This window comes from Homo sapiens, chromosome 22 (assembly GCF_000001405.40).
Source record: "Homo sapiens chromosome 22, GRCh38.p14 Primary Assembly".
Taxonomy (NCBI): Eukaryota; Metazoa; Chordata; class Mammalia; order Primates; family Hominidae; genus Homo; species Homo sapiens.
In genome coordinates, this window is record NC_000022.11 from 19,152,211 (window position 1) to 19,179,150 (window position 26,940).

General features: G+C 54.5%; 1 protein-coding gene and 1 long non-coding RNA gene across 5 annotated transcripts, besides 10 other annotated features; one reads left to right on the forward strand and one right to left on the reverse strand.

The window, feature by feature from the left end:
* Positions 16,632-17,569: an enhancer, noted in NCBI's record as "H3K27ac-H3K4me1 hESC enhancer chr22:19156355-19157292 (GRCh37/hg19 assembly coordinates)". NCBI's record gives its function as "activates a minimal SCP1, AML or CMV promoter by ChIP-STARR-seq in naive H9 embryonic stem cells {active_cell/tissue: H9 hESC(naive)}" and the evidence as "EXISTENCE:reporter gene assay evidence [ECO:0000049][PMID:30033119]".
* Positions 19,366-19,505: an enhancer, noted in NCBI's record as "active region_18655". NCBI's record gives its function as "activates an Ori minimal core promoter by ATAC-STARR-seq in GM12878 lymphoblastoid cells {active_cell/tissue: GM12878}" and the evidence as "EXISTENCE:reporter gene assay evidence [ECO:0000049][PMID:35858748]".
* Positions 19,366-20,380: a biological region, named in NCBI's record as "H3K27ac hESC enhancer GRCh37_chr22:19159167-19160103".
* Positions 19,444-20,380: an enhancer, noted in NCBI's record as "H3K27ac hESC enhancer chr22:19159167-19160103 (GRCh37/hg19 assembly coordinates)". NCBI's record gives its function as "activates a minimal SCP1, AML or CMV promoter by ChIP-STARR-seq in primed H9 embryonic stem cells {active_cell/tissue: H9 hESC(primed)}" and the evidence as "EXISTENCE:reporter gene assay evidence [ECO:0000049][PMID:30033119]".
* On the forward strand, positions 19,496-20,622 carry LINC01311 (long intergenic non-protein coding RNA 1311). Its single transcript, NR_103767.1, has one exon. It is a non-coding gene; the product is annotated as a long intergenic non-protein coding RNA 1311 (long non-coding RNA).
* Positions 19,586-19,755: a silencer, noted in NCBI's record as "silent region_13455". NCBI's record gives its function as "represses an Ori minimal core promoter by ATAC-STARR-seq in GM12878 lymphoblastoid cells {active_cell/tissue: GM12878}" and the evidence as "EXISTENCE:reporter gene assay evidence [ECO:0000049][PMID:35858748]".
* Positions 19,836-19,905: an enhancer, noted in NCBI's record as "active region_18656". NCBI's record gives its function as "activates an Ori minimal core promoter by ATAC-STARR-seq in GM12878 lymphoblastoid cells {active_cell/tissue: GM12878}" and the evidence as "EXISTENCE:reporter gene assay evidence [ECO:0000049][PMID:35858748]".
* Positions 19,936-20,115: an enhancer, noted in NCBI's record as "active region_18657". NCBI's record gives its function as "activates an Ori minimal core promoter by ATAC-STARR-seq in GM12878 lymphoblastoid cells {active_cell/tissue: GM12878}" and the evidence as "EXISTENCE:reporter gene assay evidence [ECO:0000049][PMID:35858748]".
* Positions 22,826-23,573: an enhancer, noted in NCBI's record as "H3K4me1 hESC enhancer chr22:19162549-19163296 (GRCh37/hg19 assembly coordinates)". NCBI's record gives its function as "activates a minimal SCP1, AML or CMV promoter by ChIP-STARR-seq in naive H9 embryonic stem cells {active_cell/tissue: H9 hESC(naive)}" and the evidence as "EXISTENCE:reporter gene assay evidence [ECO:0000049][PMID:30033119]".
* Positions 23,371-26,526, reverse strand: SLC25A1 (solute carrier family 25 member 1). 4 transcript variants are annotated; one of them, NM_005984.5, is made up of 9 exons: positions 26,370-26,526; positions 25,923-26,030; positions 25,732-25,831; positions 25,517-25,655; positions 24,910-24,994; positions 24,636-24,740; positions 24,368-24,483; positions 24,211-24,284; positions 23,371-24,034 (listed from the first exon to the last, which is right to left on the reverse strand). In NM_005984.5, the coding sequence occupies exons 1-9, from the start codon at positions 26,461-26,463 to the stop codon at positions 23,920-23,922; spliced, it is 936 nt and encodes a 311-aa protein (NP_005975.1). In that variant the 5' UTR covers positions 26,464-26,526; the 3' UTR covers positions 23,371-23,919. The 4 variants fall into 4 exon arrangements, 3 of the variants coding, with proteins under 3 accessions (NP_005975.1, NP_001274316.1, NP_001243463.1); NM_001287387.2 differs by lacking the exon at positions 26,370-26,526 and adding an exon at positions 26,177-26,295; NR_046298.3 differs by lacking the exon at positions 25,517-25,655.
* Positions 25,743-26,822: a silencer, noted in NCBI's record as "silent region_13456". NCBI's record gives its function as "represses an Ori minimal core promoter by ATAC-STARR-seq in GM12878 lymphoblastoid cells {active_cell/tissue: GM12878}" and the evidence as "EXISTENCE:reporter gene assay evidence [ECO:0000049][PMID:35858748]".
* Positions 25,824-26,571: an enhancer, noted in NCBI's record as "H3K27ac-H3K4me1 hESC enhancer chr22:19165547-19166294 (GRCh37/hg19 assembly coordinates)". NCBI's record gives its function as "activates a minimal SCP1, AML or CMV promoter by ChIP-STARR-seq in naive H9 embryonic stem cells {active_cell/tissue: H9 hESC(naive)}" and the evidence as "EXISTENCE:reporter gene assay evidence [ECO:0000049][PMID:30033119]".

Genomic DNA, 26,940 nt, shown 5'->3' on the forward strand with positions numbered 1-26,940 from the left:
GCCTCTTTACCAGTCCACCTTGGTAAATGGCCCACTGTGGCACTTTTTCAAAAAGTTTATTTTCTATTTTGCATTATTTTTTGAGACAGGGTCTTGCTCTGTCACCCAGGCTGGAGTGCAGTGGTGTGATCATGGCTCACTGCAGCCTTGGCATCCTGAGCTCAAGTGATCCTCCTGCCTCAGCCTCCCAAGTAGCTGGGACTACAGGTGCACCACCATGCTCAGCTAATGTTTCTGTTTTGGGGGGGTTTTGCCACGTTGCCTAGGCTGGTCTCAAACTGCCGAGCTCAAGCAATCCGCCTGCCTTAGCCTCCCAAAGTGTTGGGATTACAGGCATGAGCCACCGTGCCTGCCTGGCCTGCCCCCCTCCCTTTTTTTTTTTTTTTTTTTTTTTTGAGACGGAGTCTCGCTCTGTCGTCCAGGCTGGAGTGCAGTGGCATGATCTCAGCTCACTGCAAGCTCCACCTCCCGGGTTCACGCCATTCTCCTGCCTCAGCCTCCCGAGTAGCTGGGACTACAGGCGCCTGCCACCATGCCCAGCTATTTTTTTTTTTTGTATTTTTATTAGAGACGGGGTTTCACCATGTTAGCCAGGATGGTCTCGATCTCCTGACCTTGTGATCTGCCCGCCTCGGCCTCCCAAAGTGCTGGGATTACACGCCCGGCCTTTTTTGTTTGTTTTTTTACTTTTGAGACAGGGTCTCGCTCTTTCACCCAGGCTGGAGTGCAGTGGGTGACCATAGCTCACTGCAGCCTCTGAACACCTGGGCTTAAGAGGTTCTCCCACCTCGGCCTCCCAAGTAGTTGGGAGCACAGGCACACGCCACCATGCCTGGCTAATTTAAAAAAAATTATAGATAGGGTCTCACTATGTTGCCCAGGCTGGTCTAGAACTTCTGACCTCAAGCAATCCACCTGCCTCAGCCTCCCAAAGCTCTGAGGTTACAGGTGTGAGCCACCGTGCCTGGCCACTCTGGCGCCTCTGAAACATGCTGGCAGGTTCTCTGATGCTGCTCCCTTTGGGAGTTTAATTGGGTTTCTTCCTGAAACATGGGCTGGCCTTCACGACTTGCTTGTAATCCATAGAATGCAGCAGAACTGACATCGTGTGGTTTCTGAGGCCAAGTCACACACAGAGTCACACAGATCAGATCAGCAACCCAACTCCTTCTCTCTCTCTCACACATCTTGGGATGCTTGATCTTTACACCCAGCCACCATGCTGTGAGGGGCACAGGCAGCCTCGGGAGAGGATAGGCGTGTTCCTGCCAGCAGCACCAGCTGAAGGACCCATCCACCCCCTGCACGGGTCACCTACAAGTGAGTGAGGAAGCCTTCCAGATGGCTCTGGCCCCGGCCACCATTGGACTGCAACCACAGGAGACACCAAAACTGAGAATCCCCTCCCTGAGCCCAGTCAAGCCCCATGACTATGAAATATAATAAAATAGATGATGCTGGGTGTTTTTACTGCACCAAGTTTGATGTGGTTTGTTATATAACTATAGATAAGCAGAACGGGATCTGGTACTGGAAGTGGGGTGGGTGCTGCTGATACAAAACCTAAATCATGTGACATTGGCTTTGGGATGGGGCAGTGTCCAGGAGCTGGGAGGACCTTGCAGAGGCTGACAGTGGGGACTTAGAGGAAAGTGAAGAAATTGTTACTGGAAGATGGAGGAAAGAAGACCATTGTTATGCAGTGGCAGGAAGTTTAGCAACATTGTCACCTGTAGCCAAATAGGAAATAGAAGCTAGATAGTATTCCCAAGAATAAAATGATCTAAGGACATACCCAGAGAGAAAGTTCAAGGTGCTACTTGGCTTCTTCTAGCTACCAATAATAAAAAGAAAGAAGATATGATTCAAAAAGCAAGATTTAGGGCCGGGCATGGAGGCTTACTCCTGTTATCCCAATGCTTTGGGAAGCTGAGGTGGGAGAATCACTTGAGGCCAGGAGTTCAAGACCAGCCTGGGCAACATAGCAAGACCCTCATCTCTATAAAGAAAAGTTTTTTCTTTAAGATGGAGTCTTGCTCTGTTGCCCAGGCTGGAGTGCAGTGGTGTAATCTCTGCTCACTGCAACCTCCGCCTCCTGGGTTCAAGCAATTTTCGTGCCTCAGCCTCCCGAGTAGCTGGGATTACAGGTGTGTGCCACCATGCCCAACTAATTTTTTTGTATTTTTAGTAGAGACGGAGTTTCTCCCTGTTGGCCAGGCTGGTCTTGAACTCGTGACCTCAGGTGATCCGACCGCCTCAGCCTCCCAAAGTGCTGGGATTACAGGCGTGAGCCACCTTGACTCATCACCCTGGAGCTTCAGGTACTTCTCTTGATGTCCTCATCTCCTAACATCCTTCCTCTTCCTCCCCCTCCCCTCCCCCTTCCCCTCCCCCTCCCCTCCCCCTCACCTCCCCCTCACCCTCCCCCTCCCCTTCCCCTCCCCCTCCTCCTCCTTCTTCTTCTCCTTCTTCTTTTCTTTTCTTTTCTTTTCTTTTTTTTTTTATTTTCCAAGACAGAGTCTCACTCTGTCACCCAGGCTGGAGTGCAGCAGTGTGATCTTGGCTCACTGCAGCCTGCCTCTGCCTTCCAGGTTCAAGCAATTCTTGTGCCTCAGCCACCTGAGTAGCTGGATTCCAGGCATGCACTGACATACCCGGCTAATTTTTTGTATTTTTAATAGAGATGGGGTTTCACCATGTTGCCCAGCCTGGTCTCGAACTCCTGACCTCAGGTGATCTGCCCATCTCAGCCTCCCAAAGTGCTGGGATTACAGGAGTGAGCTACTGCACCAGGCCCTCATCTCTTAACTTCTAATCTTGCTCTGTCCAGGTCCCTGAACCAACCAGCTCAACTATTTGCTACAGCTGGTGGGTCTTGCAGGTTCTGCCTTTGCAGAGTGGATGGCACAGTGCTCACAGAAACTCTGCCGTTTGGGAGTCTTTGCCCTCATGCTCCACTGCCGTTCAGGGCTGCCTGAGTGAGCTGTGGGGCAGATGTCATAAGTGAGGCCACATGGGATGGCAGTCACCTGCTTTCACAGCTTACGTGTGTCCTCTGGACTTGCTGAGAGCTGATCCTCGTAATGCCACTTCTGTTGTGTGGATGGTTGGTACCTTGAGACCTGGTGGCTTGGCCAAGCACAGTGGCTCACGCCTGTAATCCCAGCACTTTGGGAGGCCGAGGCAGGAGGATTGCTTGAGCTCAGGAGTTGGAGACCAGCCTGGGCAACATAGCAAGACCTTGTCTCTACAATAAATAAAAAAATTAGCTGGGCGTGGTGGCATGTGCTTGGGGTCCCAGCTACTCAGAAGGCTAAAGCGAGAGGATCGCCTGAAAGATCGCCTGAACGAGTTCGAGGCTGCAGTGAGCCGAGATCAAACCACTGCACTTCAGCCTGAGTAACAGAACAAGACCCTGTCTCAAAAAATAAAATAAATAAAGCCTGGCATGGTGGCTCATGCCTGTAATCCCAGCACTCTGGGAGGACAAGGTGGGTGGATTACCTGAGGTCAGGAGTACCAGACCAGCCTGGCCAACATGGTGAAACCCCGTCTCTACTAAAAATACAAAAATTAGCTGGGCGTGGTGGCAGGCATCTATAATCCGAGCTACTCGGGAGGCTGAGGCTGGAGAATCGCTTTAACCCAGGAGGCTAAGTTGCAGTGAGCCAAGATCACACCAGTGCACTCCAGCCTAGGTAACAGAGCGAGACTGTGTCTCAAAATAAAATAAAATAATAAAATAAAATAAATAAAAGACCCAGTGGGTGTCTCTGACAATACCCAGCTCTAATGAGCCTTCTGGTCACTCAGTAGCCCATCGTCAGATGCCCAGTTCCTGCCAGGGCCCAGAAACGTGGAAGGAGCTGTTTTGTTTTGTTTTGTTTTTTGAGATGGAGTCTCGCTCTGTCTCCCAGGCTGGAGTGCAGTGGCGCAATCTCAGCTCACTGCAACCTCCGCGTCCCAGGTTCAAGTGATTCTCCTGCCTCAGCTTCCCGAGTAGCTGGGACTACAGACACCTGCCACCACGCCCGGCTATTTTGTGAATGGTATGTGGCATGGCCTTGCTCCAGAACCCTAGGAGTGGGCACTGCCACCCTTCCACTGCAGCCTGCTGAAGGCGCCACATGAAACCTTTCTCTGCCAAGCGTTGGCCATGGCTCTGTCAGGTCACAGGGTCAGGCTCAGGGCTGCTGGTACCACAGCCTGGACCTGCAGCAAATCCCATACTGCCCTAGGCTCTACTAAAAGCTGGCATCCTCCATATCACCCACAAATTTCTTGGGCAGTATTCCCAAGTTTTTTCCGCCTCCAAATCGCAAAGAAGCCTCACCCTGTTGTGTTCTTTCATAGTGGTGAGAGGAGCTGGGCGCTCGCCCTTCGCCTTGGAGGAGTTGCTCTGGCATCCCAGGCCGCTGGGCTCCCAGAGGCTGCTTTTTTTTTTGTCTCTTCTTCATTACCGGTTTGTGAGAGTTCTTTGTATATTTAAGATACTAGTCCCTTATCAGATATATGATTTGCAAATATTTTCTCTCATTCTGTGGGCAGTTTTTACTTTTTCCTTTTCTTTCTTTTTTTTTTTTCCAGAGACAGAGTCTCGCTCTGTCGCCCAGGCTGGAGTGCAGTGGCGCGATCTCGGCTCACTGCAAGCTCCGCCTCCCAGGTTCACGCCATACTCCTGCCTCAGCCTCCCCAGTTGCTGGGACTACAGGTGCCCGCCACCATGCCCGGCTAACTTTTGTGTTTTTAGTAGGGATGAGGTTTTGCCATGTTGGCCAGGCTGGTCTGACCTTAGGTGATCCGCCCACCTCGGCCTCCCAAAGTGCTGGGATTATAGGAGTGAGCCACTGCACCCAGCCTTTACCTTTTTTTTTTTGAAACAAGGTCTCACTCTGTCGCCCAGGCTGGAGTGCAGTGGCATGATCATAGCTCACTGCAGCCTTGACCTCCTTGGCTCAAGCCATCTTTCCATCTCAGCCTCTTGAGTAGCTGGGAATACAGCCAAATGCCACCATGCCTGGCTAATTGTAAAAAATATATATATACGTATACACACACACACACACACACACATATATATATTTGTAGAGACAAGGTCTTGCTGGCCTGGCACAGTGGCTCATGCCTGTAATCCCAGCACTTTGTGAAGCTGAGATGGGCGGATCACCTGAGGTCAGGAGTTCGAGAGCAGCCAAGCCAACATGGTGAAACCCCGTTTCTACTAAAAATACAAAAATTAGCTGGGCGTGGTGGCGTAGGCCTGTGTCCCAGCTACTAGGGAGTCAAAAAAAAAATTGAGACAAGGTCTGGCTATGTTGCCCAGGCTGGTCTCGAACTCCTGGGGTCAAGCAGTCCTTCCACTTCAGCCACCCACAGTGCTGAGATTACAGGTGTGAGCCATTGCGCCTGCCCGTTTTTTGCCTTTTTATTTTTAGAGACAAGGTCTCACTATATTGCCCAGACTGGTCTCAATCTCCTGGGCTCAAGTGATCCTCCAGCCACAGGCTCCCGAATAGCTGGAAGTCCAGACGCTCACCAGCATGCCTGGCTTCAGCTGGCATTTTAATAGGAGTTATATTGAATCTGTAGATTAGTTTTCGGAGCAATGCCATCTCAACAATATTTAACTCTTCCAAGCCATGAACATTAGATGTCTTCCATTTATTTAGTGCTTTGATCTCTTTCAACAATGTTTTGTAGTTTTCAGAGTTTAAGTTTTCATTTTGTTTACATTTGTTCCCTAATATTTTGTTCTTTTTTTTTTTTTTTTTTTTTTTTGACAGAGTCTCACTCTGTTACCAGGCTGGAGTGCAGTGGTGTGATCTTGGCCCACTGCAATCTCCGCCTCCTGGGTTTGATTCCCCTGCCTCAGCCTCCCGAATAGCTGGCACTGTAGGCGTGCACCACCACACCCAGCTAATTTTTTTTTTTTTTTTTGTATTTTAGTAGAGATGGGGTTTCACCATGTTGGCCAAGATGGTCTTGATCTCCTGACCTCGTGATCCGCCCTCCTTGGCCTCCCAAAGTGCTGGGCTTACAGGCGTGAGCCACCGTGCCCGGCCAATACTGATGCATTTTATTTCTTTTTCCTACCTAATTGTAGAGCTTTCTTTTCTTTTTTCTTTTTCTTTTTCTTTTTTTTTTGAGACAGAGTCTCACTCTGTTGCCCAGCTGGAGTGCAGTGGCATGATCTTGGCCTACTGCAACCTCTGCCTCCTAGGTTCAAGTGATTCTCCTGCCTCAGCCTCCTGGGTAGCTGGGATTACAGGCACGCACCACCACGCCTGGCTAATTTTTGTATATTTTTAGTAGAGACGGGGTTTCGCTATGTTGGCCAAGCTTGTCTTGAACTCGTGATCTCAGGTGATCCACCTGCCTCGTTCTCCCAAAATGCTAGGATCATAGGCGTGAGCCACTGTGCCCAGCTTAGAGCTTTCAATACAATGTTGAATTGAAGTGGCGAGAGTGTACATCCTTGTGTTGTTCCTGATCTTAGAGGAAAATGATTCGGTCTTCACCATTGAGTGTGATGGTAGCTGAGGATTTTTCATAGGTGCCCTTTATCAAGTTGTGGAAGTGTCCTTCTTTTTTTTTTTGAGACAAAGTCTCACTCTGTCGCCCAGGCTGGAGTGTAGTGACGCAATCTCCTCTCACTGCAACCTTGCAATCTCCGCCTCCCGGGTTCAAGCAGTTCTCCTGCCTCAGCATCCCGAGTAGCTGGGATTGCAGGTGCGTGCCATCAAGCCCGGCTAATTTTTGTATTTTCAGTAGAGATGGGTTTTCACCATGTTAGTCAGGCTGGTCTTGAACTCCTGACCTCATGATCTTCCCGCCTCGGCTTCCCAAAGTGCTAGGATTATAGGCGTGAGCCACCGCGCCCAGCGTGTCCTTCTAGTTTTGGGATTAAACAACATGATCCACTGGTTTTTGCAGGAGCCAGATAATGTATTAAACTGGGATTTGCTAAAGACCACATTGCAACCTCCTTTCAATCTTTATTTATTTATTTTTTGAGACAGGGTCTTGATCTGTCACTCAGGCTGGAGTGCAGTGGTGTGATCAACACTCACTGCAACCTCACCATCCTGGGCCCTGGTGATTCTCTTGCCTCAGCCTCCTGGGTAGCTGGCACTGCAGGCATGCACCATCGTGCCGGGCTAAATTTTGTGTTTTTTTATAGAGACAGGGTCTCACTATGTTGCCTAGGCTGGTCTCAAACTACTAGGCTCAAGCGAGCCCCCTGCCTCAGCCTCCCAAAGTGCTGGGATTACAAGGCATGACCAGCCACTCCCGGCCATCCTTTCAATTTTCAACTGAGACCTCTAAGCTCTGCTATCCTTCCTGGGACGCAGCACTGTATTTTTTTCTTTTGAGACGGAGTCTTGCTCTGTCGCCCAGGCTGGAGTGCAGTGGCGCAATCTCGGCTCACTGCAAGCTCCGCCTCCTGGGTTCACGCCATTCTCCTGCCTCAGCCTCCTGAGTAGCTGGGACTACAGGCGCCCGCCACCACACCCAGCTGATTTTTTTGTATTTTTAATAGAGACGAGGTTTCACCATGTTAGCCAGGATGGTCTCGATCTCCTGACCTCGTGATCTGCCCGCCTCAGCCTCCCAAAGTGCTAGGATTACAGGCATGAGCCACCGCGCCCGGCCAGCACTGTTTTTTTTATCTTGGTAGGGGCAGTTCAGGAACTTTCATGTAGCCTTTATTGCAAAACAGGTCTCACTTTTGAGAACTGAAAGTAAAATCCTAAGCACTCCCACCAACTGAAAAGATCCCCCTTGACCAAAGGACCCCAGAGAAACCTTAAAAACTGAGTTAACAGCCATGACAGGACAGAAGGTCAGACATGCCTCGCTGTACCCTGTCCCTTTTGTGGTTTAGGCACAACTGACCAACATTAATGTTAAAATAGAGATCATAAGACTGACAGAAGAGACTCTGGCAAAACGATACCAAATTATAAACAGGACCAAAGGCCATGCTAGGCAAGGATTAAGTCATGCACCCCTATACTTAAAGAAGAAACTATATTCTGTCACAGGTGGTTTTTTTTTCCTCTAACAGTTAAACAAGCACTAGCCTCAAGATAAACAATATTAAAACAATTACAACTCAACCACTGCCAGACACTCACTGACCCTCCTGTTGTACAAGCCACAACTACAGCTTTGATAGGACATGAGACTGGATTTAGTAACTTTCTTCTGATAAAAAGACCATCCACCCTAGACTGGTTCTGGCTGGTTACAGAGGCTGCACACTTGCGTGCCTTCACGTCCGTCCCTACTTCACCTTCTGACGTGTAGGGCCTAATTGTAATGCATTTAAATGTGAAGTCTCCGCCCCAAAGTAAACATGGCTGCATGGGACATGCGTATTTGCTTCTCACATATGCACATGTTCCCCCTTCATGAATATTCACAGCTCCTCCTAGATCCTGTTAAATATGTATACTTGGCTGGCCTGGTGCGGTGGCTCACGCCTGTAATCCCAGCACTTTGGGAGGCTGAGGCAGGTGGATCATGAGGTCAGGAGATCAAGACCATCCTGGCTAACACGGTGAAACCCTATCTCTACTAAAAATACAAAAAAATTAGCTGGGCGTGGTGGCGGGCACCTGTAGTCCCAGCTACTCAGGAGACCGAGGCAGGAGAATGGTGTGAATCTGGGAGGTGGAGCTTGCATTGAGCCAAGATCGTGCCACTGGACTGCAGCCTGGGAGACAAAGTGAGACTCCATCTCAAAAAATATATATATACACACACACACACACACACACACACATATATATACATATATATATACGTACACATATATATACACATATATATACGTACACATATATATACACACATATATATATACACATATATACACACATATATACACATATATATACACATATATATACACATATATATACACATATATACACATATATATACACATATATACACATATATATACACATATATATATATGTATACTTGGCTCTCCTATTCAGCATAAATTCCTGTTTCACCGCTCTCATCCTAAACATGCCTGTCTTTTGATCTCTGCGAGAGGCTACACTTCCCAGCCTGGCCGCCTTGCAGGCTATAACCCTTTATAAGAAATAAAGTTGGCAGAGCACAGGGCTCATGCCTGTAACCCCATAGTCCCAGCACTTTGGAAGGCTGAGGTGGGAGGATCACTTGAGGCCAGGAGTTGGAGACCAGTCTGGGCAACATAGTGAGACCCCATCTCTACAAAAAATAAAAAAATTAGCAGGTATGGTAGCGTGCACCTGTGGCCTCAGCTACTTGGGAAGCTGAGAGGGGAGGATCTCTTGAGCCCCAGAATTTGAGACTGCAGTGAGCTATGATTGTGCCACTGCTCTGCAGCCTGGGTGACAGAGTGAGACTGTCTCTAGAGAAAAGAAAATAAATAAAGTCTCCTTTCTAAATTTATAAATTGTGTGATTTTTCAGTTGGCACTCTACAGGTTAGAAATCACTGTGAAAGTTCTGCCAAATACTAAATATGTCTATTCCAATTATGCATTCAGAAACTGCAGAAATAACCTGTGAGTAGCTCATGAATTGCTGGGCCCACTGTGGGATGGAATTGGGCCAGGACTTTGCGTACTGCCCGGCTGTCTGTGCTCCTGCTCTAGCAGGGAGGCCATGAGGGCACTTTGGGTCCCAGGAATCAGTGCTGACTTGGAGCCAGTATCCAACAGCACTAAAAAGATCTGGGTTTTCCCTTTCCCCAGCGCACAGCTACCTGAGTAAGCGGAAACAGGCCCCTTCGTGAAAGGATGAGGGGAATCACTACTAGAAGTACCTTTCATGGTGTTCCTGGCTCCTTCCTCATGGGAAGGAGACTTCAGCAGAGGAGGTCTGGGCCTGAGAACTGGCTGGACACTGGGCGACACTGAGACATTTCAGTGGGCAGGTGACCTGACCTCAGCCTTTTGCCCTTCTATTATTTTTACTTATGTTTTTAAATGTAAAATAAAGACAGCATAGCATTTACCATTTTAACCTTTTTGTTTGTTTGTTTGTTTTTGGTAGAGGGGATCTTGCTCTGTCACCCAGGCTGGAGTACAGTGGTGCAGTCATGGCTCACTGCAGCCTCGATCTCCTGGGCTCAAGCGATTCTCCCACCTCAGCCTCTGGTTGCTGGAACCATAGGCATCCACCATGTGTACCTAATTTTTGTATATTTGTAGAGACTGGGTCTCACTTATTTGCCCAGATTCATTTTAACCTTTTCTACGTGTGCAATACAAGTGTGCATTAAGGATATCCACAAGGCTGTGTAACCCTCTCCGCGACCATTCCCAGAGCTTTCCTAATCAGAAAACTGTAACCATTGCACAGTAATTGCCCTTCCCTGAACTCCCAGCCCCCGGCGAGCGGGGCTCATGGCTGAATAACACTGCACTGCATGTGCAGACTACATTTTGTTTATCCACTTATCCCTCCAGGGTCCTTGGGTTGTTTCCACCCTCTGGCTGCTGTGAATAGCGCTGCTGTGAACATGGGTGTAATGCGCTTGCTTCAGTTCCTGCATTCAGCCCTTCTGGGTATATACTGAGGAGAGGAATTGCTGGGGCGCATGGTAATTCTATGTTTAGGGTTTTGAGGATCCACTGAACTTTTCCACAGCTGCATCTTACATTCCCACCAGGTTCCCATAAAAGTTCTACTTTATCCACGTCCTCAACAACATTTGTTATTTTCTGGTTTTAAAATGTATAGACATCCTAGTGGGGATGAAGTATTTTTCTCATTCTGACTTTTTTTTTTTTTTTTTTTTTTGAGATGGAGTCTTGCTCTGTCACCCAGGCTGGAGTGAAAGTGGTGCGATCTTGGCTCATCGCAACCTCCATCTCCTGGTTCAAGTGATTCTCGTGCCTCAGCCTCCTGAGTAGCTGGGATTACAGGCGCCCGCCACTACACTCAGCAAATTTTTGTATTTTTAATAGAGATGGGTTTCGCTAGGTTGGCCAGGCTGGTCTCGAACTCCTGGCCTCAAGTGATTGGCCAGCCTTGGCCTCCCAAAGTACTGGGATCACAGGTGTGAGCTATTGTGCCCAGCCTCTTTGCTTATTTATTTATTTATTTATTTATTTTTATTTATTTTTTTGAGACTGAGTTTCGCTCTTGGCCCCCAGGCTAGAGTGCAGTGGCACAATCTCAGCTCACTGCAACCTCCGCCTCCTGGGTTCAAGCAATTCTCCTGCCTCAGCCTCCCGAGTAGCTGGGATTACAGGTGGCTGCCACCACACCCAGCTAATTTTGTATTTTTAGTGGAGACAGGGTTTCACTACGTTGGCCAGGCTGATCGTGAACTCCTGACCTCAGGTGATCTGCCCACCTTGGCCTCCCAAAGTGCTGGGATTACAGATATGAGCCACCGTGCTCGTCCTCTTTGCTCATTTTTAATGTTTTTTTCTTTTTTCTTCTTCTTCTTTTTTTTTTTTGAGAGAGTCTCGCTCTGTGGCCTAGGCTGGAGTGCAGTGGCTATTCACGGCTCACTGCAGCCTTGAAATCCTAGGCTCAGGTGATTGCGTGAGCCACCATGCCCAGCCAGTTGTTTGTTGTTGTTGTTGTGTTGACTTACATTATTTTTTCCAATATTTCATCATGAAAATTTTGATGAAATTTTCATCAAAATATTCAGATAATTTGAAGGGATATTCACTGTCTAGATTATTCAATTATTAGTATTTTGCTATAGTTGATTTATCACTATGTATGCATTCGTCTTTTATTTTTACAAATGGGGTCTTGGTATGTTGCCCAGGCTTGTCTTGAACTCCTGGACTCAAGTGATCTTCCCGCCTCAGCCTCCCAAATTGCTGAGATTATAGGCGGGAGCCACAGCAGCAGGCCAGGATTGTTTTTTATTAATTTTCCAGTGGCCTGCCAATGGTATATATAAATCCAGTCCATGTTTGTGTAGTCATCTGGTAACTGTTTTAGCATCCCAGCACACAGTCAAGAAAAATAAACTTTAAAAATAACTAAAATAACTAAATAACTAAATGGCCCAGGCACGGTGGCTTACGCTTGTAATCCCAGAACTTTGGGAGGCCAAGGCGGGTGGATTGCCTGAGGTCAGGAGTTGGAGACCATCCTGGCCAACATAGTGAAACCCTGTCTCTACTAAAAATACAAAAAATTAACCAGGCATGGTGGCGGGTGCCTGTAATCCCAGCTACTTGGGAGGCTGAGGCAGGAGAGTCACTTGAACCCGGGAGGAGGAGGTTGCAATGAGCCGAGATTGCGCCATTGCACTCCAGCTTGGGTAACAAGAGTGAAACTCTGTCTCAAATAAATAAATAAAATAACTAAATGGAAATTCTAGAACTGAAAAATGCAACATGAGAAATAAAAAATTCCCTAAATAGGCTTAACAGCAGAAGAAAGATAACAGTATAACAGAAGAGTCAGTTTGAGACTAGCCGGATAATAGAAATTATCCAATCTGGGGTGGGATGGTGGCTCGCACTTGTAATCTCAGCACTTTGGGAAGCCAAGGCAAGCAGGTCACTTGAGCTCAGGAGTTAGAGACCAGCCTGGGCAACATGGCAAAACCCCACTTGAATTTCTACGAAAAATACAAAAGTTAGCCGGGCATGGTGGCACATGCCTGTAGTGCCAGATACTCGGAGGTGGAGGCGGGAGGATTGCTTGAGCCCAGGAGGTTGAGGATACAGTGAGCCAAGATCACACCACTGCACTCCAACCTGGGTGACAGAGCGAGACTCCATCTTAAAAAAAAAAAAAATCCTGGCACTTTGGGAGGCTGAGGAGGGCAGATCGCTTGAGCCCAGGAGTTCAAGACCAGCCTGGGCAACATAGAGAGACCCCCATCTCTATAAAAAATACAAAAAATTAGCCAGGGGTGGTGGTGCACACCTGGAGTCCCAGCTACTCAGGAAGCTGAGGTGGGAGGATCACCTGAGCCTGGGGAGGTCAAGACTGCATTGAGCCATGATCCTGCCACTGCACTCCAGCCTGGGTGACAGAGCAAGACTCCATCTCAAAAAAAACAAAAGCAAGTAAAAGAAGATTTTTTTTGTATAGAGTCAATAATATATAAAAAGGCAAAAATAGGCCGGGTGCGGTGGCTCACGCTGTAATCCCAGCACTTTGGGAGGCCAAGGTGGGCAAATCACGAGGTCAGGAGATCGAGACCATCCTGGCTAACACGGTGAAACCCCGTCTCTACTAAAAAATACAAAAAATTAGCTGGGCCTGGTGGCGGCCACCTGTAGTCCCAGCTACTTGGGAGGCTGAGGCAGGAGAATGGCGTGAACCTGGGAGGCGGAGCTGGCAGTAAGCCGAGATCACGCCACTGCACTCCAGCCTGGGCGACAGAGCAAGACTCCATCTCAGAAAAAAAAAAAAAAAAAAAAAAGGCAAAAATAGAGAAAATAATGAAGCCAAAGATAAACAAAATTAATAAACTAAACTGAATCAGAAAAAAGGAACACTAATTACTAATATCAGGACTGAGGGAAGGGATGTAACTATAGATTCTGCAGAATTTAAAAGAATAATAAGGGAATATAATGAACAACTTTATTAATAATCTATAGTTAACCTGCAGTTAATATCATACTTTCTGGCAAAACGTTGGTTATTTTCTCCCTAAAATTAAGAGTAAAGTAAGGATATCCATGACACTTCTATTCAACGTTGTCCTGGAGGTTTTAGTCAGTGCAATAAAGCAAGAAAAATATAGAAAAGGTATAAAGGGCTTGGCATGGTGGCTCATGCCTATAATCCCAGCATTTTGGGAGGCCGAGGCTGGAGGATCACTTGAGGCCAGGAGTTTGAAAACAGCCTAGGCAACATAGTGAGACCTTGTCTCTAAAAAATATTTTTTAAAAATTAGCAGGGCATGGTGGTGCACACCTGTAGTCCCAACTACTTGGGAGGCTGAGGTGGGACGATCACTTGAGCCTGGGAGTTGGAGGCTGCAGTAAGCTATGATCATGCCACTGCACTCCTGCCTGGGCACCAGAGCAAGACTCCATGTCAAATAAACCCCTCAAGGCCGGGCGCGGTGGCTCACGCCTGTAATCCCAGCACTTTGGGAGACCAAGGCGGGTGGATCACGAGGTCAGCAGTTCGAGACCAGCCTGACCAGCATGGTGAAACCCCATCTCTACTAAAAATACAAAAAAAATTAGCTGGGCATGGCGGTGGGCACCTGTAATCCCAGCTACTTGGGAGGCTGAGGCAGAATTGCTTGAAACCAGAAGGCAGAGGTTGCAGTGAGCCTAGATTGCAACACTGCAGTGTAGCCTGGGCAATGAGAGCAAAACTCTGTCTCAAAAAAAAAAAAAAACTCTCAAAATAAAAAACCTAAGTGCGCAAGGCCATCCACTCAGATACACCGCCCCACACATCAGCGTCCCACCCCTTCACTATCAGGCTGTCACTTTGCTGTGAGAGCCTTGTTTAGGTTGAGATCCCCTGCTTCTCCTGGAGTTCGGCTGTGCTCCACTAACCCCCGGGGCCTCATCTTCATTTCTGTCCACCCGCCGGCCAGTCTCTGCATGTGCCAGCTGGGCTCTGATGCGGGGCACTCTGCTTCATGCTGTTGATCGGTGTGTCTGGATCTGTCATGTTCTCTCCTCAAGGAATCAACAGTGCTTAGCAACAGCCTCTCAGTCCCATGGCTCTTGGAGTTCCTCCCCACCTCTCAGGTGCCCAGGGCACTGCACCAGTGACACTGCCTCCAAATGTCTCCCATCCCAGTTCCCCCTGGTGACAGTTCTTACTGTCACACTGTGACCCAGGCCGGGGGCTGTCAGTTCTCCACCTGACACCTTGGCATCTACGAGGATGGAACACCACAAAATGCTGGAAACACGAGAAGAGTGACAGCTCCTCGTTGCCACCCTGCCGGCGCAGGAGCCAATTTCAGAGTGCTGTCCTTCAGGTGGGCTTCCCAGGGCCACCCACCAGACACCCACTGTTGAGGTCGAGTTCCCTAGAAGCAAAGCCTGAAGCAAGGATTCTTGTTCTCGGGCTGTTGCTGAGCGTGTGCCCAGGAGAGTGAGGAAGTCTGTGCTGCCTTCCGGTGGTGCTGAGCCCTGAACGGTTTCCAACAGGAGCTTACTTGTTCATACTTCCAGAGGTCAGGAACCCAGATCAGGGTGTCAGCAGTGTCGTGCTCTCGGAAGGCTCCAGGGGACAGTCTACCCGGTGCCCTTCTCCCAGCATCTGGCCTTGCTGGACCCACTGGGCATTCCTTGGCTCACAAATGCCCCCTCCCATCTCCACCTTGGTCACCACATGGTCTTCTCCTGTATGTGGCTCTTCTCTTCTGAGGACTTCATCAGTCTTACTGGGTTAAGGACATACCCTACTCCGGTATGACTTCATCTTCATTTGCATGGTTCTTGTTGTTGTCTGGTTTACAGGCAGGGTCTTGCTCTCTTGGCCAGGCTGAAGTGCAGTGATGTGGTCACAGCTCAGTGCAGCCTCAACCTTCTGGGCTCAAGCAATCTTCTCACCTCAGCCTCCAAAGTAGCTGGTACCACAGATGTGTACCAACATGCCCAGCTAGTTAATTTAAGTGTAATTACATCTGCAAAGATCTTATTTCTAAATAAGTTCACATTCACAGATAGGATGAGCGAGGACTTTGGCATCTCTTTGGGAGACACAACAGAAACCTAGAGGGACTCCCCATCCTGATTTGCCTGTGACTTTCCCAGGTTTTGGTGCTGACAGCCCTGCTTTCCGGGAAATTCCTTAGTCTTGGGAAAACTGAGATGCCTGGTCACCGTGGAAGTAGGACAGGGCTGGGTGGTAGAGTGCAGACTGCTGAGCAGAAAGCTGTCTCTGTTACAGGTCAGTTTTCATCATTCCACATGGAACCGCTGTGGCAGACACTGAGAACTTCACAGATCTGAACCACCTTTCGGCAAAGCAGGGATGCCCAGGTATCAGCCATTGTCAGGGTTCTGCCTCTGGGTCTGGAGGGCTGCTGTGTGGGTGGCTCTCATTCCCCAGGACAATTCTCCAAGACCAAGGTGGCCATGAGCCACCAGGAGGCAACAGTCAGCAGCTGGGGACCAGTAGGCTGACCCCTAAAGGGGATCTGAATAGAGCCATCTATGCACACCCATCCCCTTGTCTTCCCAGTAAATGGCCCGCGGCCCCACCTACTCACCTGGGTAAACACACACCTCGACTCCTGTGCACCTTGGTAAACACACACCTGTCCGTCCAGGTAAATGCCCCACTCACTCACCTGTGCACCTTGGTAAACACACACCTGTCCGTCCAGGTAGATGCCCCACTCACTCACCTGTGCAGCGCTCACCTGACTCTAGAGCTGCTCAAGGCTCAGCTGGTGGGCAATGCTTAGCACTCCCTACTCCCACCTCGGATCTCATCGTCCACCTCCAGCTCCATCTGGTATTGCCCACGCCTGTCCCTCTGCACTGCCTCCACCTTGGCGCCAGTCGTAGATGTCTGCCACCGGCACCCCCACAGTGGCTGGCTTTTGAACCCACTCCCAGCAACTTTTCTCTCCTGTCCTCCTCCCCAAAGTGAGCCTCCCCGAGAGGCGTCAATGCTTGCCACAAACAGAAGTCCCATCATGGCACCCTCACTTCAGATGCCCGGAGTGAGTGGTCCTCAGTCCCTGGAAGCCCTGGACTCTGCCACCTCTCCCATCTGTCCCCTCCCTCCTCACTCTCAGCTGCCCAGGTCCCTGGTCAGCTCCTTCAATGCATCCACCCTGGCTCCTTGACGCCCTATCCTGGGGCTCCTGGCACCTCTGCAAGGGGGCCTTCCCTACTGTCCCCACCTGCACCTCTCTAGACAATCCCAGTGCTCCCGGCTGCCACCATTTCTTTCCCCGACTAAAGAACAGACCTGACTGTTTCCAGGACTGGATGAAACTGAGGCAGATGAAGAGGGCAGGGATCTGGAGGGGCTGGGGGAGAATTAGAGGCCACAGAGGAATGGAGCTTTGGGTGGGCACGGACAGACCACTGGATTTGGACAGTCAGGGCCGGGACGCAGGAGCAGCTAGGGCCCAGGGAGCCGGGGGTTAGGTCCCTCAGATCCCGCACATGCAAAAGTGAGGCTGAGGTAGGGGGGTGGTCCCTCGGCATGTGAGCCCAGGGGGTTCCCGAGCCAAGTGGCAGCCGGAACAGTGGGGAGGGACAGCCAAGGAGGTGGGGAGGGGTCGCTGGCCCCGCTCAGGGCTGGTTGGGGTGGAGGAAGCCCGGGCCCAGGCCGCCCCCCGCTGGGTCGAGGCCACCCCGCCTCGAGGGCGCGGCCGTCCGGATCTCCTGATTGCTTTCTTTCATCTCTGTTCCTTTCTCAGCCACAAACGCCCGCTAATGCCTCTTTTATCACGGAATTAGGGGATTTAGGGCCGGTCGCACAAAGGGGCCCTCGATAGCGGCCATAATCAAACCCCAATCGGCCGACCTTGGACGGGCCGGGGAAGAAAGGAGCGCCGGGGATTAGCGCGGTACCGCGGCCGGGCAGGCAGAGATAGCATCGGCGCCGCTGCGGGGCTGAAGCCGCGGAGGGCTCGGCCGCGCTCGGAGAAAGGACGGCTTAGCTCCTGGAGCCGGGGATTCTGAAGCCATTAGGTGGGGATTAACACCCAAGTTAATCTGCTTTGGTCGCTCAATTGTCAGCAGCGAACGCGCGGGACTGAGGAAGCCTGGCTCCCAGCGACCACAGGGCCTTGCCACCCAGCAGTCCAGAGCTACGAGCTGGTATCAGTTTCCCCAGCTGTCACCCGGCCAAGGCGGGCCTTGGAGCCAAAAGGGAGATGCACACCTTGGTGGGCTGGCCAACGGGTCTGGATGAGTGGACCCCCTGCCCCGCCAGCCTTCCTGGGTAATCAGGGAACTCAGAGAAGGATGTTCCTGCCCCATCCTGACCCAGACCACTTGTGGACCCTGACAGCCAGTGCAGCCCTGGGTGCCACCCACACACTGAGCTTGGGTTGCACGGCAACATGCATGACACACCTGTCCCCATCAAGCAGGGTCAGGGGGCAGCCTGCAGACTGGGTGGACGCTGACAGCAGCTAGCAGCCCCCTTGCAGACCCTCCATCTTCCCTTTGGGGTCCCTGTCCAGGTATAGCCCCCTAAAGACCTCTGTTGACCAACTCACTGACAGGGCAGATGTGACACCACCTGCTCTCAATTCATCCTCACTCTTCATCTTCAGTCCTCTCTCACTAGGCGGCAGAGGGAGGGACTGGACCTATACAGGTCCCAGGTAGGTCCTTTGTCTCTGTCTGGGTTTTCCTATCTGAGGAATGGAGCCGGCTAAGGAAAGGCCCAACCAGAATGTGCCAGTGTCGTGTGTGGCCTGTGCTCACTGCTATCTTCTGTGGGGACGCAACCCCAACCCTGACTCCTTCTCCTGTTCCTGCCAGCAGGCCCCCAGAGTAGGTGGCTCAGAGGGGTGTGCTTACACCTGCCTCCTCCTCCATGGAGATGTGGCAAGGTCACTGTGCCTTACATGAGCCTACAGGCAGCAACAAGTGGCTGGACTGGAGCTGACCAGGCAGGCAGGATGGGGTGGGCAGTAGCAGAGGAGAGGCCAGTGGAGCGCTCTGGGTCCCCATCTTCTTTCCCATGGCTGAGACTAGGGACATTGGAACAAAAAGTCCCAAGTGGAGGAAAAGACGCAGTCATAAGTACATTTGTCTTTCCTTCCCTCTCATCTCCCTTCCTCCCTTTCTTCCTTCAGCAGTGACCAACGATTCTCCCATCCAGGCCCTGTGGAGGGGACACAGGCGTGAGCCACAGACCCAGGCTCTGCCCTCTGGGAGCTTGGGTCCGAGGACACAGTTAGACAACCGGATGGGAGGGCGCCCTTCGGGAAGGGGAAACAGGCACCCCACATGCACAGGGCCAGGCAGGGCCTGAAGGGCAGTGTGAATTACAGGGAAAATGCGGAGGGAGAGGAAGAGTGCTCCAGGGCGAGGAAGCCGCGCCCGCAGCGATCTGGAGTGCGGTGGGGAGCAGGTGAGGCGGGAGAAGCCCAGTTCTGGGACACGCAGGCCAGCTCTAGGCAGGGGAAAGGAGGGGCGGGAGGCCAGGGAATGTTCCCTCAGGCTGGTGCGTCAGAATGGCCCAGGCAGCCTCCAGCGTGGGCCCCCGCTGGTCCCGGGAGGCGCCGCCAGAGGCTCGGGGAGGGTGGACGATGTGGCTGGGCCGGCGAGAATCCAGGGGCTGCAGGCAAGGACGGGGACTCGCGATGAAACCCGAAGATCAGGGGCTGGTGGCAGTGACCGCGAGGGGCCTCCAAGCAGCCCAATCAATCTCGGACGAGGGGTCGAGTCAGTGGCGGTGCAGGCGGCAAAGGCAGCCAGGGTCTGAGCAGCGCGGCTCCAGCCCCAGCAGCAACGGGAGAGCGCGTGCGCCGCCCCAGACGACTGGACGCGCCCTCGTGACGCCATCAGCGCGCGCCGCCCCAACTTCCGAGCGCAAGCGTGGTCGCCCCCACAGCCTGTGGGCTACGGGAACGCGATCCGACTCGGCGGCCCTCCCTGCCTGGATGGCCGGTCCCCGAGGCTGAGGAAGTCCATTCCTCTTTCGGAAATGGTCCCCAGGAAGCTTCTCCGTGTCCCCCTATGGCCGGGTACTGAGCGGGGCCCGGGTGGTCTGCGGCCGTGGCCCCCGCCCCTCAGCGCAGGCGACCCTCCTGGCCCTGGCGGGCACAGCGCCTCTCCCGTGACCTGGGCCGGCCCGCAGGATGAGCCCCCGGATCACGATCGCTGGCATTTTATTTACCTTCTTCCATTACAACCCCAGGCGAGTCTCCCGGGCCCCGAGAGGAGGGGGTGACTGGTCAGGGTCATCGGTAGCGGCGGCAGGGGCCTGCATAGGGCTGCCTCGGGGCGACTAGCAGAATGGCCGCCAGCCTCGGCTGCCCCAGCCCCCAGCGCATGGAATGTGCCCCGGGCCCCAGGAGCTCCAGGAACCGCGCTTGTGAGACGGAGCTTCGGCTGCTTGGAGCTAGTGAGCCACCGGCCACGGCAGGGATTTGAGCAGAACTTGGGGGCAGAGGGATGAGATGGTGCATCCCTTGAGGTCACTTCAGGAGATGACACTCCTGTGGCTAAGTGTAGCTTCCCAGGTCATGGCTCCCAGGTCAGGCCTGGTCAATGGAGAATTAAGTGGGCGTTGGGTGGTGGATGGATGTGATTTGGCAGAGGGGACAAATGTGACAACAGTGTAATAAGGGCCATGTTGGGGAGGGTCAGGGGTCAGGGTCCGGCCCAACCTGAGCAGAAGGGAGGCTGCTCTCAGGGATATTTGTCAGGTAGGAATGGGTGGAGTGGAACTACAGGGCCACCATGTTTCCCATGGGTCACCCATGGTGGCCTTGTCATGTTTATCCGTGATCCTCAGTGTTCTCTGTGGTCCTCCCGTCACCCCTTTCAGACTGTCCTTTCAGTTCTCCACTGTCCCTGCATCACCTCTGCCCCTGTCCCGTTTGTCTGTGTTCAGTCCATGTTCCCAGGTCTTGAGGTGGCCCCTGGTTCTATGCCCCTTACCTAAGACCCTGTGCAGGGAATCTGTGAAAACACAGAGGAAATAAAAAGTGAGGAAAATAGTACTCTTGCATCCTCGACCAAGATAGTGTTTGTTGTGAGTGCTGAGACGGACCAGCATTCTCTTTGTTGGTGAAGAGGAGACAGACCCATCCACAGGAGTCATTGGCTTTTTTGAATACTAAGCTCTGACTGCCATTCATCATCTACACAGGGACAGAAAACCCGGTCTGGGGGACGTGGCACGCAGCAGTGTGTGAGGGGAATGCCAAGGAATCTGGGGAGCGTCAAGGAATCTGGGGAGCGGGAAGATGGAGCGGGGTAGCTGCCTGGAGGCCTCAGTCCCACAGCAGTGAGGACAAGGCTGGAGGTTAGCCAAGCCCTGCCCTAGGTGTGGTCACGACCTCACCAGCTCCCTTTTCCTTTTCTCTGAGGCCATTGTCTCTCCTGGGCACAGTCCGTAAGGTTCAGATTCCAGACTGTGACTTTAACTGGTCACCGTGGCTCTGGCTGGAGCAGGACATGGTGACCTGGAGTCTCCATCCACTCCTCCGATGTGCACTTAGCCACCTCCTGGGGCTCTCCCCAGCACTGGCCGAGCATCCTGGTTAGTGGGGAAACGTGGAGCACCAGGCTAGAAATCAAGACCCTTCTGCCTGCAGACTAGCTTGGAGACCCATCCACGTGTCTCTGCTCCTCTGCCCCTTAAGGGCAGGTGCGCCCCAGTGTTCTTAGTCTGTGCTACTCCCTGCTGCGGGCCTCCTCTCTGCAGTCTGGTTAAATGCAACTTGGCTCCCTCCAGGCCCCTGCCTGCCTCTCCAGCCTCCAGCTCTTTCCTGCACAGACACCTTTCCCCTTGGGTCTCAGCTCCAAGACTGGAGGCTGCTTGCTTCTTGAGGGAATGTGTGAAGCAGCCTACAGTGTGGGTTCTATCTACCAGAGTACGTGGCTCCTCCATGCTCGTGGCCCCAAGGGACTCAGACCCAGCTCAATCAACATTTCTGGCTGGGCTATCTGATGTCTGCCGTGTGATTCAAAGGTGATTCGAGGTGACCCTGAGGATGGCAGGGGTCCAGGGAGGGTGGAGACCCATGCCATCCTACACCCTGCTCTCACCTAGTGCAGCCTCGGCCCCTTCCTGTGGAGAGGGACAGGGACAGGACTCGGTGCAGGTGTGCAGTGAGTGGCTGGCATCTCTGGAGGTCAGTATGTGAGGGTGGGGGTCCCCTCCAGGCAGCTGCGAGGGCTTGGCTGCTCCCAGAACTGCCTGGAACCTGGGGAGACTGTAAACAACCTCTTGCAACCCCAAGAATAAAGCTGCCATGTGTGAGGGCTTGCTCTGAGCTAAGCATGATTCTGAGCACCGGCAGGGAGTACAGCAAGTGGATGCTGAGGCCTGGAGGGCAGGCCCCAGAGAGCTGAGTGCCCCTCCAGGTTTCATGGCTGGCACTGTGGACCAGTGTGGCCCACTGCCTGCTTGCCACCCCACAACAAAGCTTCAGAGGTGCAGAACCAGTGGCCTGAGCTCCAGGGACAGGAAGCATCTTGGCGTGGGGTTCTCATGGTGGCACTTGCATGCCCTAGTGCACAGGGGCGGAAGGGGAAGCTCTGTTGCCTGGGCCCTTTCTCTGTGGCAACAGATGGGGAAGTCTGCCGTGAGGATAGAGAGTGCATGGCCATCCCATCACAGCACAGGTTGAGTGCTGAGCCACCCCGAGCCCTCCCCAGCCCAGCGGCTCTCCCCAAGGAGGCTTCAAAACCCCGTGCTCCCTTTGTACCCCCAAGCCCATGCTTGGCTCTCAGATCCACCTCGGGCCCTTTGCACCCCAGACTCCTCCCCAGCTGCACATTCCCGGGATTCCAGGCATCTGGTGCTGTGTGAGGTCACTAGGACAGGGCAGTCTCCCCAGGGACGGGACCTGTTCACATGGAGTTTCTGGCTGGCAAAAGCTTGTTCTCCAGTCTGAGCCAAACGCTTGCATGACTCTTCCCCCACGGAGGCACTTGGACAGGAAGCTGGCTTCTCTGCACAGCCAGGGGCACTAAGTGATCCCATCCTGCCTGAGCGTCCTCCACGTGGCTCATAGGCTGTGGAAAGAGGGGCTTGGCCCCATGGGGACATGCCAGTTCAGAGCTCTGGCCTCCAGCCAGAGGGACACCTTTCTCTGAGGCTCATGGCTGTGGCATGAGGTGCCCAGAGAGCCCTGGTCAGGCAGCCCCACCTCCTGCTGCCCCAGGGCAGCTGCCTCCCAGCCCAGGTGAAGGAACAAGGGAGGGCCCCTGCCCAGAGCCTTTGGGTAGCAGATGCCAGACACCCACCCCCACCTGGAGTTCAGAGGCCTCAACGTGCCCCCATCTCCTCCTCCCCACGAGCAGCCCATTTCACTCACTGAGGAGCTGGGCATACCCCAGAGGGGCCCTGGGCAACCCAACCCTTCCCTAAGCTTCCCTGTGGGTGAGGGGCAGGCAGTCGTCCTGGGGGCTCCATCTCCTGGGCCCAGCCCCCTGCTCTGAACACTCTGCCAGGCCACCCCTAGGCCTTGTCAACACACCCTTTTACCCATGCCACGGGATCTTGCCCAGAGGCCACAGGGAAGGCCAGGGTGCACCCAGATCCTTCTTGGCCTGGCGCTGGGCTTCTCAGGGAGCCAACACTGTGGCCACAGCTGCTCTGCCCTGGGTGGACACTAGGCTTTCCCTGTCCCCCTACTGCAGTGTCCTCAGATGGGGGTGGCCTGGTCCCCTGCAGAGGCACAGCCACCAATGCCCATGCATAGATGGGTCCATACAGGGACGAACACAGGACAGGAGGCTGCAACAGGATCCGGTTTATTCTGCCTTGGCAGGGTGGTCCTGAGAGTGGTGGGTGCCACCCTGTCCGGGGCGGAGAGAGGGCCCGAGGGCCAGTTAAGGCCAATGGCGGGAGAAGCAGGGGGCTGCAGCCCCTGGAATGCGGTGAAGCCAGGCCGAGGCCCGGAGGCAGCTGTGGTAGGCCAGGGCAGGGTGGAAGGCACCGGACTGGGACCGGGCCAGGGCTACAGGGCCGAGGACCCAGGCCACACGGGCACCCCGGGAGGCGGGGCACAGGGTCACGTGACACAGAACATGAAACACAGGCACAGGGTCATAGGCCAGATGCACATCCAGCCATGGCTGGGCCAGACACTGGGACACAGTGGTGGTGTCACACACAGACCACAGGGGGGACACATGGATTTGACAGCCACAATGCACAGACCAGGCTACAGAGCTCGAGGGACGTGGGAAGGGGCCTTTTGGCACTACTGCACTGGAATCGTGAGACAAAGGTAGCAGGACACTCTGGCGGTGCCTGGGGCGGTCCCCTTGCGGCCTCTCTAGGCTTAGTCCGTCTTCCACACTTTGTTGAGCAGCTTCACCACTTCATCATAGATGACAAACACTATGGCCACATCCAGGCAGACCCGGCCCAGGCGGGGGACAGTGCCCTTGTAGAATCTGGGTGGGAGGAGGGGCGGGGAGAGGAAGGCAGGTCAGCACAGTGTCCCTGCACAGGGCAATCCCCAGATACTGAAGTGAGAGGCACAGAGGCCTGAAGGGGACAGAGTGGGCAGGCCAGGTAGGCCGGGAAAGGTTTGAGGTGGGGACAATAGCCCTGCCCCTCCCCCACTCACGCCTTGAGCCCCTCCTTCTTCAGGATCTGCAAGCCGCAGTCCCACGTGTTCCGGTATTTGTGCGCCTCCAGGCCCTATGGGGGACATCAGCAGGCAGGGGCTCAGCAGCTAGCTCTGGCCTGGTCCCCCCTTCCCCTCCCCTTCCCGGCCCCACCACCTGCATCCGGGTCTTAATCACATCCAGAGGAGTGTTTCCAAAGACACTGGCTGCGCCTGCAATAGCTCCGAAGACCCCAGTGATCAGAGGGTTCATGGGCTTGTTGGGGTTGTCCCCTGGATATAGGAGGGGTGAGGTGGGTCAGAGGGTGCCGGGAGGGGCCTGGATCAGCACTTCAAAAGGTGGGTGCCCGCCACCCAGGGGTGGCCCCAAGGAGAGGAGAGGAGCTGGCCATGTGCAGAGATGGGGCCCTGTGATGCAGACACACCTCGGTACCAGTTGCGCAGGGAGGTCATGACGAAGAAGCGGATGGCCTGGTTCGAGCCCTGCTTCAGGACAGTGGCTGTGAGGCCCTGGTACGTCCCCTTCAGCCCTGCGGGAAGGCAGGCACGGGGTTACCCTGCAGCCTCTCAGGCCCCGGTTGGGAATTGGTGTGTGTGGGGGGTGGGTGTTGCACAAAGCCCAAGGCAGGATGGGAGGTGCAGGCCCTTCCCACCCTGGCCCAGGTCCCTGAGCCCTATCAGGAAGGTCGAGTGGCTCACCTTGTTCCCGCACAATCTCCCTAACCCCGTGGAAGAATCCTCTGTACTTGGGGTTTGGGGAGGTCTGGTCGTGGATGAACTTCACCTGAGAGAGAGAAGCAAAGGCGCAGGTTCTCGGCTGCCACCTGGGTGGGTCCTGGCTAGCTGGCAGGCCCAGGGCCCATCCAGGGTGGAGGGAACTGGGAACTCTTCCCCAGGAAGCAGTGCAGCCAAGGCCGCCCTGGGCTGCCCACACGGACCATGCCCCGGGACACAGGGCAGCCCACACGGACCATGCTCTGGGACACAGGGCAGCCCTGTGAGCAGCCTCTCCCTTTATGTTTGCTGCTCTTTTCCAGTTTTGGCAGTGAAGGTGTCATTTTGTTTTCTGCTTTATAAAAGTATTTTTTAAAGACTTTAAGGCTGCCTTTAGCATAGACTCAGCCTCCACGGGTGGCCCTTCGTGGCAGGCGTCCTGCCCCAGGGCCCCGCGGTCACCCCGCCGGCCTTCCCTGGCGTCCAGGAGACCCTCCCCAGCTTGCCGGTTGCCCCGGGAGCACCGGGCCAGCGGGGCCGCCCGTCTCCGTACTCCCTGCGTGTCCGGGGTCCTCGCCAGGACCTTCCCCACCTTGATGGTCTCCATGGGGCACACGACCACCACGGCCTCGGCCACGCCAGCGCCCAGGCCGCACAGCAGCCCACGCGTGCTGTCCAGCCGTCCCTGGGCATCCCGCATGTGGTTGCTGAGGAACTCGAACATTCCAAACCTGGAGGCGGGAGGCGGGTGAGAGGGGCTGCCGCGGCCGAGCCCCCCTCCCGCAGCAGCCACCGGCCGGGCCTCACCTGACGGCCGCCTTGGGGATGGAACCGTAGAGCAGGGAGCTAAGGCCGCGGTACAGGCCCAGGACGCCATGGCTGCGAACCGTCTGCCGCACGCAGTCCCCTGGGGGAGGGGGCGGTCAGGACCCCACGGCCCTCGGTGCCGCCGCCCTGGGTACCCGCCCCCCGCGGCGCCGCGGCCTCCCCCTCCTCACCGATGCCCCGGTACCGCGGCGGGTGCGAGCGCTCGTCCAGCTGCAGCTGCGTCTTCACGTACTCGGTGGGGAAGGTGATGCAGATCTCGATGCCACCCGCCAGGCCGCCTGCAGGGACCGGGAACCCGCTCCTGAGACTCCCGCCCGGCCGCTGGCGCTCGGGCCCCTCCCCCGTCCCGGACTTCGGTCGGCGCGGCCGCCGCGCCAGTGCCGCGGGGAACATAGGCTGGGGCCCCACGCCCCCATGCCCTCACCCCGTTGTCCCGGCGAGGCGCAGGGGGTGACAGACGGGAGGCGGGCGAGTCCCAGCGCGCCGGGTGGGGACCAGGACCGCGCCTCCACGACTCCCCAGCCCACGGCCCAACCCGGAAGTGGGGCGGGGCCTCAGCGTCCCGGGCCCACCCAGAAGCGCGGCGGGAGAGGGGTCCGCGTCCCGGAGGGGCCCACCTGCCAGGATCGCCTTCCCCGGGTGCGTCAGCTTGGCCTTCCCGGACGCGGGCGCGGCGGCCGCCAGAGCGCGCGGGGCGCGGGGCGCGGGCATGGCGGGCGGGAGGCGGGGCGCCCTGTGGCGGCTTCGGGTCCGAGACTCCAGAACTCCGCGCTCGGTCCGCGGTGGCGGCGGCGGCCGGTTATGGTCCCAGGGGCGGGGCGGCCGCGTCAGCTCCAGGTCCCGCCCCGCGTGGTCCGAGCCAGGCCCCGCCCCCAGCCCGCCCCGTGCGGGCCGGGAAACTGAGGCCTGGGCGGGGCGCGCCGAGGCAGGCGTAGGGGCGGGGCCAAAGCGCAGCCAATGGCCGAGGCCGAGTCCCTGGGCGACCGCGAGCGGCGGGACGGGGGCGGGGCTGCGGGAGGCGGAGCCGTGGCCCAGCTCCGAGCAGTGGGTCAAGGTGCACTGTGTGCCGCGCCGCGGGATAGCGGGCCTCGGGTCTGCGCGACTGTCGAGAGCGGCGGGATCCCCAGGGATCCCGGAGGCCAGGGGCACACCCTCCCCGAAAACACGTGGGGCTAGCCCAGTCCCAGA

Bases quoted from the DNA above. Each gene is read 5' to 3' on its own strand.
- SLC25A1 (NM_001256534.2), bottom strand. From the start codon at position 26,145: ATGTTCCCCGCGGCACTGGCGCGGCGGCCGCGCCGACCGAAGTCCGGG. The intron at 24,995-25,516 runs GTGGGGAAGGTC...TCTCTCTCTCAG, and splicing joins GCCCCATGGAGACCATCAAG to GTGAAGTTCATCCACGACCA. The intron at 24,285-24,367 runs GTGGTGGGGCCG...TGTCCCCCATAG, and splicing joins TGATTAAGACCCGGATGCAG to GGCCTGGAGGCGCACAAATA.